This window comes from Homo sapiens, chromosome 11, assembly GCF_000001405.40.
Source record: "Homo sapiens chromosome 11, GRCh38.p14 Primary Assembly".
In the NCBI taxonomy this organism is placed as follows: domain Eukaryota; kingdom Metazoa; phylum Chordata; class Mammalia; order Primates; family Hominidae; genus Homo; species Homo sapiens.
This window is the reverse complement of record NC_000011.10, coordinates 124,806,586-124,824,964: the sequence shown is the minus strand read 5'-3', so window position 1 is coordinate 124,824,964 and position 18,379 is coordinate 124,806,586. Positions and strand designations below refer to the sequence as shown.

General features: G+C 42.6%; 1 long non-coding RNA gene and 1 pseudogene across 1 annotated transcript in view; one reads left to right on the top strand and one right to left on the bottom strand.

The window, feature by feature from the left end:
- The window catches only part of MSANTD2-AS1 (MSANTD2 antisense RNA 1), a 34,060-nt gene that overhangs the window by 9,523 nt on the left and 6,158 nt on the right, over positions 1 to 18,379 (bottom strand). The gene's annotated exons all lie outside the window — the stretch shown is intronic.
- LOC107984357 (E3 ubiquitin-protein ligase RNF181-like) lies at positions 15,087 to 17,156 on the top strand (annotated as a pseudogene).

Genomic DNA, 18,379 nt, shown 5'->3' with positions numbered 1-18,379 from the left:
GTCAACTTGATTGGATTGAAGGATGCAAAGTATTGTTCCTGAGTGTGTCTGTGAGGGTGTTGCCAAAGGAGGTTAACATTTGAGTCAGTGGACTGGGAGAGTTAGACCCACCTTCAATCTGGGTAGGCACCATCTAATCAGCTGCCAGCATGACTAGAATAAAGCAGGCAGAAGAACATGGAGTGAGAGAGACTTGCTGAGTGTTCCGGCCTTCATCTTTCTCCTGTGTTGGATGCTCTAAGTTCTTCAGCTTTTGCACCCTTGGACTTATACCAGTGATTTGCCAGGGTCTCAGGCCTTCAGCCCCATACTGAAGGTTACACTGTTAGCTTCCCTACTTTTGAGGCTTTGGGACTTGGACTGGCTTCCTTCCTCCTCAGCTTACAGACAGTCTACTGTGGGACTTCACCTTGTGATCATGTGAGCCAATTCTCCTAATAAACTCCCCTTCATATATACATACATCCTATTATTTCTGACCTTTAGAGAACCCTAACTAATACAATATCCATGTTAGTGGTGGCAAATCCATAGGGGTCTACAGCAACCTCAATGTTTGCCTCCTCAGAAGAAAGAATTCAACCAAGAGGCATAAGGCAGAGTGAGAGACCAAAGCAAGTCTTAGATCCAGAGTGAAAGTTTATTTAAAACTATTAGAGTAGGAATGAAAGGAAGTACACTCAGAAGAGGGCCAAGTGGGCGACTTGAGAGATCAAGTGCATGGTTTAACCTTTGACCTGGGGTTTTATACATTGGCATTCCGTGTGTGCGGTGGCCTGCCAGCAGCTGGGAGGGGCCACATGCACAGTATGTTTACTGAAGTTGTGCACGTGCTCACTTGAGGCATTCTTCCCTTACCAGTTGAGTGTTCCTATAACAAAGTCATACACCAGTTAAACTCTGCCATTTTGCCTCTTAGTGAGCAGGCTTGAGCCTACTTGCCCAACTCCTGAGATCTTATCAGGAAGCTGGTCAGCTTCTCAGCAAGTTAACCTGGAATGGCAATGTTTCCAGGTCTTTCTATCTATTGGGAGACTGCCTTTCCCTGGCTCCAGGCAGTGTGACAGTGAGACAGACAGTGTGACAACCACCTGACCATCACATGATGGTCGCCTAGACATTCCTGTTGTGGCTGGTGGGGTGGGTCTCCCCAACGCCGCTCATGTCTGTCTGACTACCTACTGTAACATCAGGATCCCTCCCCTGAAGCTTTTAAACAAATATATGGCCAGATAAGTGAGTATGGTGTGTGTTTAACAAGCATCTGGGTAAACAAAGGTGCATAAAGCATGGGAACATAAAATGGGAAAGGGAAGGGAGTGGAGAATCACAGCGCATTTCAAGGCTGTATTTCAAGATGAAAGGAAACACATATGCAGTTTGTCTCAAAGTTATATCTTCAGATTGGGGAGAAAGGAGGAAAGGAAACAAAGTTTTAACATGCAATTTGAAGCCAAGCTGCTCAGTTACAAGATCATCAAGGAAGTAAGTGTAAACCAAAAATAAAATTCTAAGGCCTCTCAACCATCTGAATGGACTTTCCCCTCAGCCAGGGCATTCTTAAAACTTAACCAGAGAGACTGGTTCAGGACATGATGGAAAGTGGGGGCCGGACATGCCTCATTATACCTCTTCGACATTAATATCAATACTGACCTTTGAGTCTGATAAAAAGCATTTATAATCTATTCTGTCTGCAGCCTGCTACCTGGAGGGTTTATCTGCACGATTAAACTTCAGTCTCCACTACCTCTTATTGCAACCCAGACATTTCCTTTCTATTGATCCCAGGTCTTTAGATAAACTCAACCAGTTGTCAACCAGAAAATTTTAAATCTACCTATAACCTGAAAGATCCCCCACCCAACATCCCCCGACTCCTGCCACCCTACCCAGCTTTAAGTTGTCCTGCCTTTCTGGACCAAACCAATGTATTTCTTAAACATATTTTATTGCAGTTTCACGTTTCCCTAAAATACATGAAACCAAACTGTACCCCAACTATGTTGGACACGTGTTCTCAGGACTTCTTCAGAGCTGTGTCATGGGCCATGGTTATGCATATTTGGCTCAGAATAAATCTCTTCAAATATTTTACAGAGTTTGACTCTTTTGGTTGAAATAAATGTAGTTAAAAAGAAGAGATCGAAGGACAGGTTCTGAGGCACCAGCAAAGGAGACTAAGAAGTAAAATGATATATTGATAGAAGTAAAGCTAGGAACTAGGAGAGCATAGTGTCCTGAAAACAAAGTGAAGACAGTGTGTCAAAGAGAAAGGTGAGACCACGCATGTCAAATACTGCTGGCTGGTCAGATAAGATGAAAATGAGACTTGACTATTGGATTTAGCCATGTGGAAGGCATTGGTGACCTTGATGGGAGCACTAGGGTTCATGGAGGGTTAAAGCCTGATGGGCGGTGTTGACTCAAAAAAGAATTTGCGGGTGGGGAGGAGACAGGAATTGAGCATAAAGTACTAATCAGGCTTTCAAGAAGTTTTGGTTAAAAGAGAAGAATAATCATTTCTGGAAAGGCAATGTTGTTGTAGGACTTTCTCCTTAGTTCAGGTAAAAACGGGGTCCTTGTCACACGACCATGAAATATATTAGGCTCACAGACATTTTGAAGGGTGAGAAGGGCAGGGTTTATTGGGTGAAAAGGAAAAAAAAGGAAACAGGGACTTGGCAGAGCAAGTGTCCTGCTAGTAGTCTTCCCACCTCACAGATTGAATCCCAGGTTCCACCCAGAACAGGAGAGGCCAGGCTCCTTCCCTCTGCAAACTGAGTGAACTTCCCAAGGCTCCACCCCAGTGAGCACTCCTGCCAGTGCCCAGATCAGTTGGAGGTTCTCTGGTGACCCCTTTATACTCGGCTGTCTCAATGTGAGGAGCTCAAAGACCCTCTCCCCAACAAAACAACTGTAACTGGTGAAATTATTTTTAAAAATAACAACCTTTTAAAGTCCCTGGAAATTGTCCTAAGGGCATGCAGTAAATGAAGAAACATTTATTCAAGAAACTCTACTAAATCTTGGTAAGAACAGGAAGAGTCTGTGGCACTTAAGCTACTATCTGCTCCCTCTCTTGCCCACTTCCCCCAGCTCAGCAGCATAGATGCTCCACTCTGGGTAGCTGCAGCCATGAAGACAGGGCTCCCAGCCAAGCACTGTGCTATCTCCCTGTTAGGGGCATTTCTCATACCCCCAAACTCTATGTTGCAGAGGCTAAATTCCAGGGAGGTGCTCCCAAGAGGTTAGGAACTCTCTTTCTTCATCCAGATCCCATTTTAGGTCAGAGGCTCTATCCAGGAGTAGCAAGCCAATAATGAAACCGCCTTTGCAAAAATTTTATCAATGAGAAAATCATGAGAGTGAAAGAGATCTGAGCTAGCCCACCCTGGATCTTGTCTATCCATTAACCATTCCTGGGCTATTGGGTGGAGCTAACTTTGGAAAACATTTAGGGTATTGTTTAGATGATAATAGGCATTGCCCAAAACTCAGCAGCTTTTATAAAGCTCATGGGAGGCCATCAGGCTGCAGGGAGGAGCCTAAATCCTGCTAAGGGGCAGACAGAAGCGATTGCCAGCCATTACTCCAGAGGTTATAAGATATGCAACTTCCCCAATTATGCCTGCAGATAACACCACTATTGTAGGTTGGCCTTTTGGAATATCTTTTCAGGTTTTTCACATGTTTAACACCCATGGCTCGACCTGGACCCACCAACCCCATTCCTGCAGCCCCACCCAGAAGTAATTCAGCCCACAGGAGGATGGCTTCAATCCCCTTGATTTCATCTGCGGCCCAATAATTCAGCAGCAAGCCTAGCCACCCCCACCCCTTTCCCCTAAACTGCTTCTGAAAAACCCCTAACCTACCAGTTTTGGATGAGATTATTTGAGCACAAACTCCTTCTCCCAGGTGGTGTGGCTGACCTTGTGTCTACTAAACTTTTTCTTTACTGCAATGCCGTGGTCTTTTTTTTTTTTTTTTTTTTTTTGAGACAGAGTCTTGCTCTGTCACCCAGGCTGGAGTGCAGTGGCACGATCTCGGCCCACTGCAACCTCCACCTCCTGGGTTCAAGTGATTCTCCTGCCTCAGCCTCCTGAGTAACTGGGACTACAGGCGTGCGCCACCATGCCCGGCTAATTTTTGTATTTTTAGTACAGATGGGGTTTCACCATGTTGGCCAGGATGGTCTCTATCTCCTGACCTCATGATCCACCCGCCTTGGCCTCCCAAAGTGTTGGGATTACAGGCATGAGCCACTGCACCTGGCCGCTGTGGTCTTTATGCTGCCAGCAGGAAGAACCCCTTGGGTGGTTATAGTAATACTGGGGCCCCAATCGCCCTAACCCTAGTTCACTCAGAGGGCAGAGGTTCCACATGAGGAAAGGCGAGACAAAAAGACCAGAGGCTGACCACCTCCATGACGTGCCCTGCAGGTCACTCTGAAACAAGCAGGCCACTGTCCCTGCCACCAACTTGGAAGCAGTAGTACCGAGATTTTGCACAGAAGAAAAGTAGGCCATAAGAGCAAAGAGCACCTATGCTTTCCCCAAGGGAACTGACTTTATTTGGAACCAAGTGTAGGGAAGTTCAAGCCTAGGGGCACTTTTTCAAAACAACGAAGATGCTGGTGGTAAGCTATTAAAAGAAGGCTGGTAGCTCTATGAGAACAATAAGCTAAACTGTAGGCTGACTAGTGTACCAGAGAGAACCAGGGGAAAAGACAGCAAAGAACAGCCTTCCTGGGGTCAAGACAAACCTCAAAGAGTGTCTTTCAAAACTACCCCTGCAAAGGGGCCCAAATTTAGTGGATTAGATTACCGAGCAATTTACACCCCAGGTTATAGCATAAGACAGTAGAGCAATTTGTTGGCAATTAGTGGAACCTAACAGTTGAGTGCAAATAGAGATGTAAAAATCCTCAACAAAATACTAGCAAGCTGAATCCAGCAACATATAAAAGGGATTATATGCCATGACCAAGTGGAATTTATCCCAAAAATGCAAGGTCGTTTTAACATATGAAAGTCATTTAATGTAATCCATCCACTATACAATATTAATAGAAAAGAGGACAAAAATCACATGATCATCTTAATAGAGGTTGAAAAAGCATTTGAAAAACCAACACCCCAATGTCCCTTAGCAATAAAAATACGCAGCAAACTAGGCATAGTAGGGAAATTCCTAAACCTGATAAAGGACATCTACTAACAAAATCCACAGCTGACATCATTCTTAATGGCAAAATACTGAATGCTTTCTCTCTAAGATCAGAAATAAGACAAGGATATCTGCTCTTGCCACTGCTATTCAACATTGTATTCTAGGATCTAGTCCGGGAATTTAAGCAGTGCAGTGAAGTAAAGAATAACCAGATTGGAAAGAAATAATAAAACTCTCTCTATTTCTTAGATGGCATGATCTTGTATATAGAAAATCATAAGGAATTCACTGAAAATATTAGCATTAATAAACAAGTTCAACTAGGTCACAGGCTACAAGATCAATTACACACATCAATAGTATTTCCATACACTAGCAATGAACAATCTGAAAGTGAAATTAAGACAATAATTCCATTTAGAGTAACATCAAAAAGAATCAAATACTTAAGAATATATTTGACAAATGAAGTTCAAGATTGCCACATACATTATTAAAAGGAATTAAGAAGACCTCCATATATCAAAAGATATTTTATGTTCACTGATAGGAAGACTTAATATTGTTAAGATGGTATCTTAGTCTGTATGTGCTGCTATAAGCAAATACCACAGACTGGGCAATTAGAATATACATTTATTTCTTACAGTTCTGGAGGGTGGGGAAATTCAAGATCAAGACACCAGCAGGTTCGGTGTCTCATGAGGGCTGCTGTCTGCTTCCAAGATGGTGCCTTGTTGCTGCATCCTCACAAGACAGAGAGAGTGACTGCTCTGTCCTCACACGGCAAAGGTGGAAAGGCAAAAGCATCTAGTAGTTCCCTCCAGCCTTTGTATAGGGGTACTAATCCCACTGCTTTTGTGACTTAATGACCTCCTAAAGGCTCCAGTGTTGCAGGTTAAGACTGGCTAGGGCTGGTGTCACAGGTGATAATAGAATTTACCTAGACAGTTGTGGGTAAAGGAAAGCAGATTTTGGGCCAGGCACGGTGGCTTACTCCTGTAATCCCAGCACTTTGGGAGGTGAAGGCAGGTGGATCATGAGGTCAGGAGTTTGAGACCAGCCTGGCCAACATGGTGAAACCCTGTCTCTACTAAAAATACAAAAATTAGCCAGGCATGGTGGCGCATGCCTGTAATCCCAGCTACTTGGGAGGCTGAGGCAGGAGAATCGCTTGAAACCAGAAGGCAGAGGTTGCAGTGAGCTGAGATTGTGCCACTGCACTCCAGCCTGGGCGACAGAGCAAGACTCCATCTCAAAAAAAAAAAAAAAAGGAAGGCAGATTTTTTAGAGAAAGTATGAAGATACATTACAAGAGTGCAGCAGGCAGCACAGCAGAGAAGGTGGCAGACATCTTTGGGAACAGACCGATATACTGTTTGCAGCATTTGAAGGTGAAACAGCTGAATTCTAGAAGACACAAACTTGACTAGTAAGTTGAGATGCAAATGCTGAAAGGAAGGAGAAGGGCTCCTCATAATGAGGAGGCACCGAAAAATGACATCCGAGGTTGAGATGTCGGGGAAGGTGAGGGAGAAGGAGCAGATGGAGTAAGTGTAATTGAACATAAAAGTGGTTTTTCAGGGGAAGCATGTGTGGCCTCCATCAGTCCACCGGGTTGGACAGAATGGAAGAGAGTAAAGGAAGGGTGGTTTAGAATGTCAGAAGAGTCAGTGGGGCCAGAGAATTTGGCCAGGCATATCTGACAGGTTCGGCAGAGATTGGGATCCCGAGAGACAGTCAGGAAAGCCTGGACATAAAGAACTTGAGACCACGTAGAGAAATTATGTCAGAAGAGGTCAAGCTGTAAAACAGTATTGGAGACAAGAGTTCCACCCAGAGGCCAAGCCTCCTGGTCTGGAAATTTATAAAGTGGCCATTTTGTTATTACATGAGAAAATTAGATGTTTCTTTTTGAGAGTCTGCGGGTCAAATTTATCCCAATGCTTTAAAATGCAGCCCAGGGGTGAGTCTGAGGGAATGGAAGGGCTTTGTCCCATCGTGGGTCCAGGAAAGAATCTCTGCTGGGGACACGAACCACAGTTTTCTTGGGGGCATCTCACTGAGAGAAAAGGGCTCCCCTCACGTTCACTGAAGGACTCTGAGGTGCACTTTCCAAAGGGGCAGCCCCCCTACTGCAAAGGGTCTCCTGGCACTAGGACCTCGTGTTAGATGAACACTGGATGAGCAACCCCAGGTCAGTGCAGGTACAAATTAGACTGAGTGCTCAATCCAGGTACGAGGGGAAAAGACTGAAAGAAAACTCACCATCCCAGTGCTGTTTGGGTGATGGTGAAAGAAAACTCACCATCCCAGCGCTCACCTGGCTTAACATGTCTGGAGCTGGCTGGTGGCTGTCTTCATGGAAGAATTTAGGGTGAGAAAGAGGGGGTTTGAGTTCCCCAAAACATGTGTGGATTCATCCTGGTCAAGCTGCCACCACCAATTATGCCCCGCATAGGGATAGGGGACTTCTGACCAGAAAGGATAGGAGAGAGCCTTCCTCCCTTTCAGGCAAGGCAGCCAAACCTGTTCACCCCCTGGACTTTAGGCTACACCAGGGAGTTGCCCTGGCCAGTTGCCATCACTTGCCAGAGGGATACTAGAGATTGTCAGCTAGAAGACTGAAAAGAAAAGTAAACTCTAAACTCTCATCCAACTGGGCAGCGGTCAAATGTCTTTCCACCAGGACCTTCTGCTCTGCCAGGGAGTGGCCCCGGCTAGGACTGTCAGTTGTCTCCAGGCCCCAACACTGTTTGCCAAGAGGTTGGGGTTGAAGGGGGAGAAGGGGAGAGTTCCCCATATGGGCCACCAAAATATCACGGGTTGCGGCTGGCTGGGGCTGGAATCCAAGGTGATAAAAGAATTTACCAAGACAGTTGTGAGTAAAGGAAGGCAGATTTATTAGAGAAAGCATGAAGATACATTGAAAGAGTGCAATGGGCAGCACAGCAGAGAAGGGGCTATCCGCCAAGAGGCAGTTTTAAAGGGTCGTGCTGGAGGGGACTACATGTGGATAAGGTGTGCAGATAAGGTCGTGCTGCCAGGGCTATATGTGGAGCAAGATATTTGGGAACAGAATGTTGTACCAGTGGGTTGTTTGCAGTTAGCCATTTCTCAGAACAATTACTCTCCCCAACCTGGGGCCCTTTCCTCATTGTTGCTTACTTATCAGGACTCCACGTCCACCTCTTTTGTTTGTTTGTTTTTGTTTGTCCGTTTGTTTGTTTAGAGACGGAGTCTCGCTCTGTTTCCCAGACTGGAGTGCAGTGGTGCGATCTTGGCTCACTGCAACCTCTGCCTCCTGGGTTCAAGAAATTCTCCTGCCTCAGACTCCACAGCAGCTGGGACTACAGGTGCATGCTGCCACACCTGGCTAATTTTTTGTATTTTATTTTATTTTATTTATTTATTTTTTGAGATAGAGTCTCACTCTGTCACCAGGCTGGAGTGCAGTGGCGTGATCTCGGCTCACTGCAACCTCTGCCTCCTGGGTTCAAGTGATTCTCCTGTCTCAGCCTCCTGAGTAGCTGGGACTACGGGTGTGCGCCACAACGCCTAGCTAATTTTTGTATTTTTAGTAGAGATGGGGTTTCACCATGTTGGCCATGATGGTCTCGATCTCTTGACCTTGTGATCCGCCCTCCTTGGCCTCCCAAAGTGCTGGGATTATAGGCGTGAGCCACCGCGCCTGGCCAATTCTTTGTATTTCAGTAGAGACGGGGTTTCACCATGTTGCCCAGGCTGGTCTCGAACTCCTGAGCTCAGGAAATCCACCCACTTCGGCCTCCCAAAGTGCTAGCATTACAGGTGTGAGTCACTGCGCCCGGCCTTTTTTTTCCTTTTCTTTTCTTTTCTTTCTTTTTTTTTTTTTTTTAGACAGAGTTTCACTCTCGTTGCCCAGGCTGGAATGATGCAATGGTGCAATCTCAACTCACTGCAACCTCCACCTCCTGGGTTCAAGCAATTCTCCTGCCTCAGCCTCCCAAGTAGCTGGGGTTACAGGAGCCCACCACCATGCCTGGCTAATTTTTCTGGTACTATTAGTAGAGATGAGGTTTCACTATGTTGGCCAGCCTGGTCTGGAACTCTTGACCTCAGATGATCCACCCGCCTTGGCCTCCCAAAGTGCTGGGATTACAGGTGTGAGCCACCATGCCCGGCCATCAACCTCTTGATGTAATCACATTGGATCTTAGGTTCTATTATATGAATTTTAGGAAACACACATATTCAAACCATAGCAGATGTCAGTACTCCCCTTCTACAAACTGATCTACAGATTCAATGCAATCCCATCAATATCCTAGCTTTTGGCTTTTTTTTTTTTGCACAAATTAATAAGCTGATGCTAAAATATCTATGGAAATGCAAGGGACCCAGAATAGCCAAAACAGTCTTGAAAAAGAGCAAAGTTGGATAACTCATTCTTCATAATTTTAAAACTTACTATAAAGCTATAGTAATGAAGATAGTGTAGTACTGGCATAGGGATAGATATATATTGATGGACCAGATGAGAGTCTAGAAGTAAATCCTCACGTTTACAATGAATTGACAAGGGGGTCAATTCAATTGAGTAAGAATAGTCCTTTTCATGAACAGTGATGGATCAACTGGATATCCAAATGCAAAAAAAAAAAAAAAAAGAAAAAGAAAAAGAAAGTTGGATCTCTCCCTCATACCGTACACAAATATTAACCCAAAATGAATTATAAACCTAAGTGTAAGAGCTAAAATTCTCAAAGTCTTCAAAGAAAATATAGGAGTAAGTCTTTGTGACTTTGGGTTAGTCATAGACTTCTAAGATTTGACAGCAAAGGCACAAATGACAAATTAAATAATTAGGTGACTCATCAAAATTTAAAACTTATGCTTCAAGTGATGTTATCAAGAAAGTGAAAGACAGCCAGGCATGGTGGCTCACCCCTGTAATTCCAGCAACTCAGGGAGGCTGGGGTGGGAGAATCTCTTGAGGCCAGGAGTTTGAGACCAGTCTGGACAACATAATGAGACCCTGTTTCTACAAAAAAATTTAAAAATTAGCTGGGTGTGGTAGCCTGTGCCTGTAGTCTTGGCTACTCAGGAGACTGAGGTGGGAGGATAGCTTGAGCCTAGGAGTTGGTTGGTTGCAGTGAGCTATGACCATGCCACTGAACTCCAGCATGGGCAACAGAGTCTCAAAAAATTTTTCTTCTACATGAATATGCATAGCAATATTATTCATAATAGCCAAAAAGAAGAAACAACCCAAATGGCCATCAACTGATGAACAGATAAAATGTGGTTTGTCCATACAATGGAGTATTCGTTGGCAATAAAAAAGGATGAATTACTAATTTATGCTACAATATGGATGATCCTTGAAAACGTTAAGCTAAATAAAAGAAGCCAGTCACAATAACCAACATATTATATGATTCCATTCACATTAAACATTCAGGATTGACAAATTTATAGGAAGAGCAAATGTATTAGTTGTTGCTTAAGGCTGGGGTGGTGGGAGGAAATGGGGAGTGATAGCTAATGGGTATGGCATTTCTTTGGGTGATGATGAAAATATTCTAAAGTTGATCACGGTGATGGTTGCATAACTCTGTGAAGGTATTAAAAATCATCAAAATGTACACTTTAAGTTGGCCAATTATATGGTTTAATAAAGAAAAAATAAAATATTAAAAAATTTAATAAAGTAGCTATATCTTTTTTTTTCTTTAGATGGAGTCTCACTCTGTCGCCCAGGCTGGAGTGCAGTGGCACAAATCTTGGCTCACTGCAACCTCCGCTTCTCAGGTTCAAGCAATTCTCCTGCCTCAGCCTACCAAGTAGCTAGGATTACAGGCACGTGCCACCACGCCCAGCTCATTTTTGTATTTTTAGTAGAGACGGGGTTTCGCCATGTTGGCCAGGCTGGTCTCCAACTCCTGACCTCAGGTGATCCTCCAGCCTTGGCCTCCCAAAGTGCTGGGATTACAGGCATGAGCCACCGTGCCTGGCTGTGCTCTATCTCTTTTTAAAGGGAGAGAAATTGGACAGTAGCTGGAGGAAGAGGGTAGGTTTTGAGATTTTTTTTAATGAGACAAAAATAATGAAAGCATGATATACTGATAAGAATGATCCAATACAAGGGGAAAACAACTGCTGCTGAAGGAGTTAGAAGAGAAACTTTCTGGAACAATGTCCTTGTAGGTAGAGATGATAGCATTTAGTGCTTAGGCAGAGGCATTGATCTTAGCTAAAAGTACAGACTAATTAGCACTAACTAGAGGTACACCATGTAGGTAAGTAAATGTGTTGGGAGCTTTGATTCTAATCCTTTCCATTTCTTTTTCAGTGAAACAGGAAGAAAGACGATGAGCTAAGAACGAAGATTGGAGAAAGAGATTTTCAGTTTGAGGTGGCCAAAGGCATAACATAGTTCTATAGGAGAGTGAGAGAATGAATTAATACGAGAAACGAAATGGTTGCTGAGCCACATTAAGAGCTCACTTGAAATCTGTGGTCACATCTAATTGAAAGGAAGACCAGTTGGCATAGTTTTGTGGGTTTTTTCTAGCCATAAGCAGTTACATGGTGCAGGTGTGACATAGGGAGACAGCTGGATTTAAACAGGATTGTGGTTTTGCCAAATGGATACTACAAAGAAAGGAAGGAACCAGTGAGCTGAGAAGTAATAGCCCTCACTTACAAGGGCTGAGGGGGAAATGAGACAGCCAAGTTTGAGTAAGAGCCAGAAAGTGTAAAGAATGATCAGATAAGAGATTGAGGACATAGGGATTTTTTTTTTTTTAATCGCCTACCCTGAATACCAGAGGATTTTGGAAGGGGTGAGTAACAGAGTTGGAAAAGAGAATTTACAGAGTCTCTTGGTTACTAAATTCCAGAACATTTAGAGTGTCCTCAGATTCTTGGGCTTCTCATGGTGAGTCTCTTCAATGGGTAAAAGGGCATGATGAGATTGCTACTGGTGGTTCCAAGTTATATAGTGTGACAAGGCTGTCAGTGTTAGATAGGAGTGGGTTTGGGGATGGGAGCCCTTCCATGCAGATGAGAGGAAACAGCATCAGTGATCTTTCATTGTGTTTAGCAGTACCAGGCTCCATGCAAAGTACCCTTCATGAATTACCTTATTTATGCCTCATTCTTTCCCATGAGGTAGGCATTATGTCCCCACTGGGCAACAAATGTGACACAGACTACCTTCAGTGTTACAGTGGCCCAGGGTGGGCTGCACCATGGAAGGGAGGAAACACTATTGCATCATTTCTTCCAATACTTCTTTTTTGAACAACTGATTTTCCTTTCTTAAAAATCACAAGACCATCACTTCTTTCTCGGTAAGAAAACAAAGACAAACAACAACAAAACAAAAAACCAGCATTCAGTCTAGCCAGTACTAAACCAGTTGCATATTTGTTTCAGCCCTTTTTCGAATTAACAAATGTAGGGCTATTTAAAAAAACATTTTAATAAGCTTTATTTCTTAGAGCAGTTTTGAATTCATAGAAAAATTGAGCAGCAGTAGAGTCCCTCCCCGACACCCCCCACCCGGCACCCCACAGTTTCCCCTATTATTAACATCTTGCTTTAGTGTATAGTACCTTTGTTACAATTGATGAACTAATATTGATACATTAGTATTAACTAAGATCCATCATTTACATTAGGGTTCACTTTTTGGGTTGTATAGTTCTATGCTATGGGGTTTAACAAATGCATAATGTTACATATCCGCCATTACAGTATCATACAGAAGAGTTTTACTGTCCTAAAATTCCCGTGCTCTATCCCTTAATCCCTCTCCTCCTCCCCCATGGTAACCACTGGTCTTTTTACTGTCCTTATAGTTTTACCTCTTCCGGAATGTCATCTAGCAGGAAACATAGTCTTTCAGACTGGCTTCTCTCACTTAGGAATATGTATTTAAGTTTCTCTCATGTTTTCTCACGGCTTGTTAGTTCATTTCTTTTTACCAAATACTATTCCATTGTGTGAGTATACCACAGTTTGTTTATCCACTCTTCTATTAAGGGACATCTTCCTTCCTTTCTGGTTTTGGTAACTACGAGTAAAGTTGTTTTGAAAATTCATGTTCAAGTTTTTGTGTGGACATAAGCACTATTGCTGGATCACGTGGTAAGACCATGTTAGCTTTGTGACTGTACATTTTGCATTTCTACCAGCCATGAATGAGAGCTCCTGTTGCTCCACATCCTCGCCAGCATTGGGTGTTGTCAGTGCAAAATGAGTAAAATGTAAAGCGTTGGGTGTTGTCAGCGTTGGGTGTTGTCAAATGCAAAATGAGTAAAATGTTTTGCATTTTACTCATTTTAATAGGCGTATAGTGGTAATTCATTGTTGTTTCAGTATACCAATCCCTAATGACATCTTTCCATGTTCATAGTTTTCATCTGTTTATCATCTTTGTATAGATCTTTTGCTTATATTAGGAAATTGAATTATTTGTAATTCTTATTGTTGAGTTTTAAGAGTTCATTGTGTATTTTAGATGCAAGTCCTTTATCAGATTTGTATTTTGCATATATTTTCTCCCAGTCTGTGGCTTGTCTTTTCATTCTTTTAACAAGCCTATTATTGGCTGGGCGTGGTGGCTCATGCTTGTAATCCCAGCACTTTGGGAGGCCGAGGTGGGTGGATCACGAGGTCAGGAGTTCAAGAACAGCCTGACCAACAGGGTGAAACCTCGCCTCTACTAAAAATACAAAAAATTAGCCGGGCGTGGTGGTGGCGCAAGCCTGTAATCCCAGCAACTCAGGAGGCTGAGGCAGGAGAATCGCTTGAACCCAGGAGGCAGAGGTTGCAGTGAGCCGAGATAGTGCCACTGCACTCCAGTCTGAGCAACAGAGCGAGACTCCGTCTCAAAAAAAAGCAAGCCTATTATTATTATTATTATTATTATTATTATTATTATTATTTAGGAACATGGTCTCACTACGTTGCCCAGTCTGGCCTCCCGAATAGCTGAGACTACAGACTACAACTGGCTTAAACAAACCTGTTATTTTGAACTAAGTTAGTTCATTTACTATACCATTTTTTATGTCAGAATAGTATTTCATGGAATGAATACAGCAGTGTTTATTAACCAGTCTCTTACTGCTGGCTTTGTAGGTCAATTCTAATTTTTGACATCATCAACAGTATCGTGCTGAACAATCTAGTGACTAAATCTTTGTGTGCAGTCTTGTTTTCTTAGCATACATTTCTAGAAGTGGGACAGTTGGATCAAAGGGCTTTCATGTTGTTGAAGCTTTTGATATTTATTAAAATTGTCCAACAGAAAATTTCTCCCAGTTTACATCTTATTAGTAGAGTGAGAGAGAGCACCTATTTTCCCAATCTCTTGTCAAGTAGGTACGATAAAATGCTCTATTTATTTATTTATTGAGATGGAGTCTTGCTCTGTTGCCCAGGCTGCTCTGCAGTGGTGGCATCAAGGCTACTACAACTTCTGACCCCTTGGGTTCAAGTGATTCTCGTGTCTCACCTTCCCAAGTAGCTGGGATTACAGGTGCACGCCACCATGCCTGTAGAGATGGGGTTTCACCATGTTAGCCAGGCTGGTTTTGAACTCCTGACCTCAAGTGATCCACCCACCTCCGCCTCCCAAAGTGCTGGGATTACAGGCGTGAGTCACCATGCCCAGCCATCACATGCTTTAGAAATGGAAATGGCTTCTTTTGTTCTTCCAAATATAAAATAACATGCTTATTCTATCATTTAAAATTATTTGCAAACTGAAAGGTTAAAAACAGTATTTCATTATTTTAATTTGTATTTTTAAATTGCTAATGAAGTTAAACATTTTGTCAGAAAAAATATATTATCTTTAGTGTCACTTAAATGACATGAATTTGATGGATATGTAACAGATGATAACATTCTTTTTTTTTTTTTTTTTTGAGATGCAGTTTTGCTCGTTTACCAGGCTGGAGTGCAATGGTGCTATCTCAGTTCACTGCGACCTCCACCTCCCGGGTTCAAGTGATTCTCTTACCTCAGCCTCCCAAGTAGCTGGGATTACAGGCATGTGCTACCATGCCCAGCTAATTTTTTGTATTTTTAGTAGAGACAGGGTTTCACCATGTTGGCCAGGCTGGTCTCAAACTCCTGACCTCAGGTGATCCACCCACCTCGGCCTCCCAAAGTGCTGGGATTACAGGCATAAGCCACCAGGCTTGACTGATAACATTCTTAAAATAGCATTTATTGAGCACTTACTCCAGCATGGTATTTTGCCAGGTATTACATAAACATGTACAGAATAATCAATCCCTAACTGCTAACAAGTCACAGTCCAAGAAAGTCAACGACTAGTTTACAAATGTTTATTGAGTGTCTAGTATTGCCTGGAACTACTTTTTATAATAACTTTATTAAGGCATAATTAATATACAACAAAGTGTACATACTTAAAGTGTACAATTTGATAGCTTCTAACATAGGCATACAACTGTAAAACTATCACCACACTCAAGATATCCACCACCCTCAAAAGTTTCCTTGTGCATCTTTGTAATCCTGGCTGATTCTGGCCCCTCTGTCCTCTCACCATTTCCAGGCAATCACTTTTTGTTATCATATATTAATTTGCATTTTATAGAATTGTACAGAAATTGAATCATGAAGTATATACTCTTAGGGAGCATGGTCTGACTTCTTTGACTTACCATAATTATTTTGAGAGTAATCTTTATTATATGTATCAATAATTCATTTCCTCTTCTTTTTTAATCCAGCTTGTGTGTGTCAGAGGTTTATTTCTTTCAACTGCTAGGTAGTAAATATACCACAATTTGTTTATCCATTCTTTTGTTGCTGGACATTTGGGCTGTTTCCAGTTTTTGGCTGTTACAAATAAAGCTGCAATGAATATGCATGTGTATCTCTGAATGAACATATGCTTTCATTTTCCTTGAGAAATGTCTAAAAATTGTATGGCTGGGGCATAAGGCAGATGTATGTTTAACTTTTTAAAAAACTACCAAACTGTTCCAAAGTGGTTGTGCATTTATCTATCAGCAGGGTTTGAGAGTTCCAGTTGCTCCAAATCCTCATCAGTTAGTATGATTAGTCTTCTCAATATTAGACATTCTAATAGGTGTGTAATGGTATCTCATTTTGTTTTAATTTGCATTTTCCCAATGGTCAATAATATTCAATATCTTTTTGTGGGCTTATTTGCTATCTATATATCCTCTTTTGTAAAATGTATGTTAAAATAATTTCTTAAATTGGATTGTTTTCTTATTATTGAGTTTTGAGATTCTTGTGCATATTTTGGGTACAAGTACTTTATCAGATATGTAATTTACAATTACTTTTTTTCCAAGTTTGTGGCTTATCTTCTTATTCTCTTAACATTATTTTTCAAGGAGAAAACATTCTTAATTTTAATGAAGTCCAATGTATCCATCCTTTTTCTTCTATGGATTGTACTTTTGGTATCAGACCTAATATCTTTGCCAGTCTGAGAGATATGTCAGAGAGCTGAGCAGCCATGACAGCCTATTTCAATGAACAGGACTGCAAGCTCTTGAACCCCAAGCAGGAGACCCTAACCCACATGCTGCTGGAGCTCACCAGATCACTTTTCAATAGGATGGATTTTGAAGACTCGGGGATGGCAGTAAATTGGAATCACCACCTGCCTCCACCAGCTGCCAAGACAGTGTGGTTGGGAACCTCCCCAGGACAGTCATCAGGAGCTCTCAGGCTGAGAGGCACACACAAGTGCCCCATGTGCTTGAGGAGGAGGAGGCTGTTGTTGGGATGCCTTGCCATTAGCTTTTCCATTCTAACTGCATTTTGCCCCGGCTAAGCAAGACAAATCCCTGTCCCTTGTGCTGCCAGGAGCTGCCCGCTGTTAACGACACTTGTGAGGAGCACAGAGGAGATAAGGCTCGAAACAGCAGCAGCAGCACTGTCTGGAGAACCTCTACAGAGCCATGTGCATATGAGGAGGCTGGGGCTAAGCGCTGGCTCTCTACAAGGTCCTCCTCTTACACCTTGAACCCTCATTAAAGGTTTCTTTACCCACAAACACAAGAAAATATCTTTGCCTAATCCAAGACCACAAAGATTTTATCCCATTTTTTTCCTGAGAAATTTTAGAGTTTCAGGTTGTTACATTTAGGTCTAGGACCTATACCTATTTTGAGTCAATTTTTGCATATGGTGCAAAGCGTGGATCCGAGTTCATTTTATGGATATCCAATTGTTCCTGCACCATTTGTTGAAGAGATTATTTTTTCTGCGCTGACTTGCATTTGTACCACTGTTGAAAATCACTGATCATATATGTATGAGTCTATTTCTGGGACAAAACCCTTTTGTGGATTGTGTAGCACGGTGACTCATTAATCCTCTCTAACAATTGTGCCTCAATATTCTCTGCTATTTCATCCATTCTTCTAGTTATGGTGTTAGCTGAAAGAGGAACATGTGCCACCTTTTGAACAGCAGCCTCTCCTAAAAGTTCATGACAAATGTCCTTAGCAGCAGGCAGGATCAACTCTTCACCAATACTAAAGGGCTTCTTAGCCTAATAACGTGGTTAGCCACTAGGAACGATGCTCTCAGTACAGACACACTTAATGAAGTAGTGGCCTTCAATAATTACTTCTGTTCTCTGTGTTCATGTTTTTTCTTTAGAAAAACTCCAAAGGCTTGTCTTTTAATGCAGGGTGCTTGGTCTCCAGGTGGTGAAGCAGTTTTGAAGTTTTCATGGCTTCCTTGAATAGTGGGTCAGCACATAATATACAAAGTGGGCTTAGAGAATGTGAATCACCTGTTGCAATTAACCCATAACTTAAGTAGAACTTTTGGCATTTTCTTTTTTTTTTTTCTGAGACAGAGTCTTGGTCTGGCACCCAGGCTGGAGTGGAGTGCAGTGGCACAGTCTCAGCTCACTGCAACCTCTGCCTCCTGGGTTCAAGAGATTCTCCTGCCTCAGCCTCCTGAGTAGCTCAGATTACAGGCACGCACCACCATTCCCGGCTAATTTTTTTTTTTTTTTTTTTTAGAAACATGGGTTTCACCATGTTGGCTTGGCTGGTCTCAAACTCCTGGCCTCAAGGGATCCACCTGCTTCAGCCTCCCAAAGTGCTAGGATTACAGGTGTGAGCCACCACGCCCAGTCTGGTATTTTCTTTTAAGTGCAGCTTTCTTTTTGTTGGCAGTC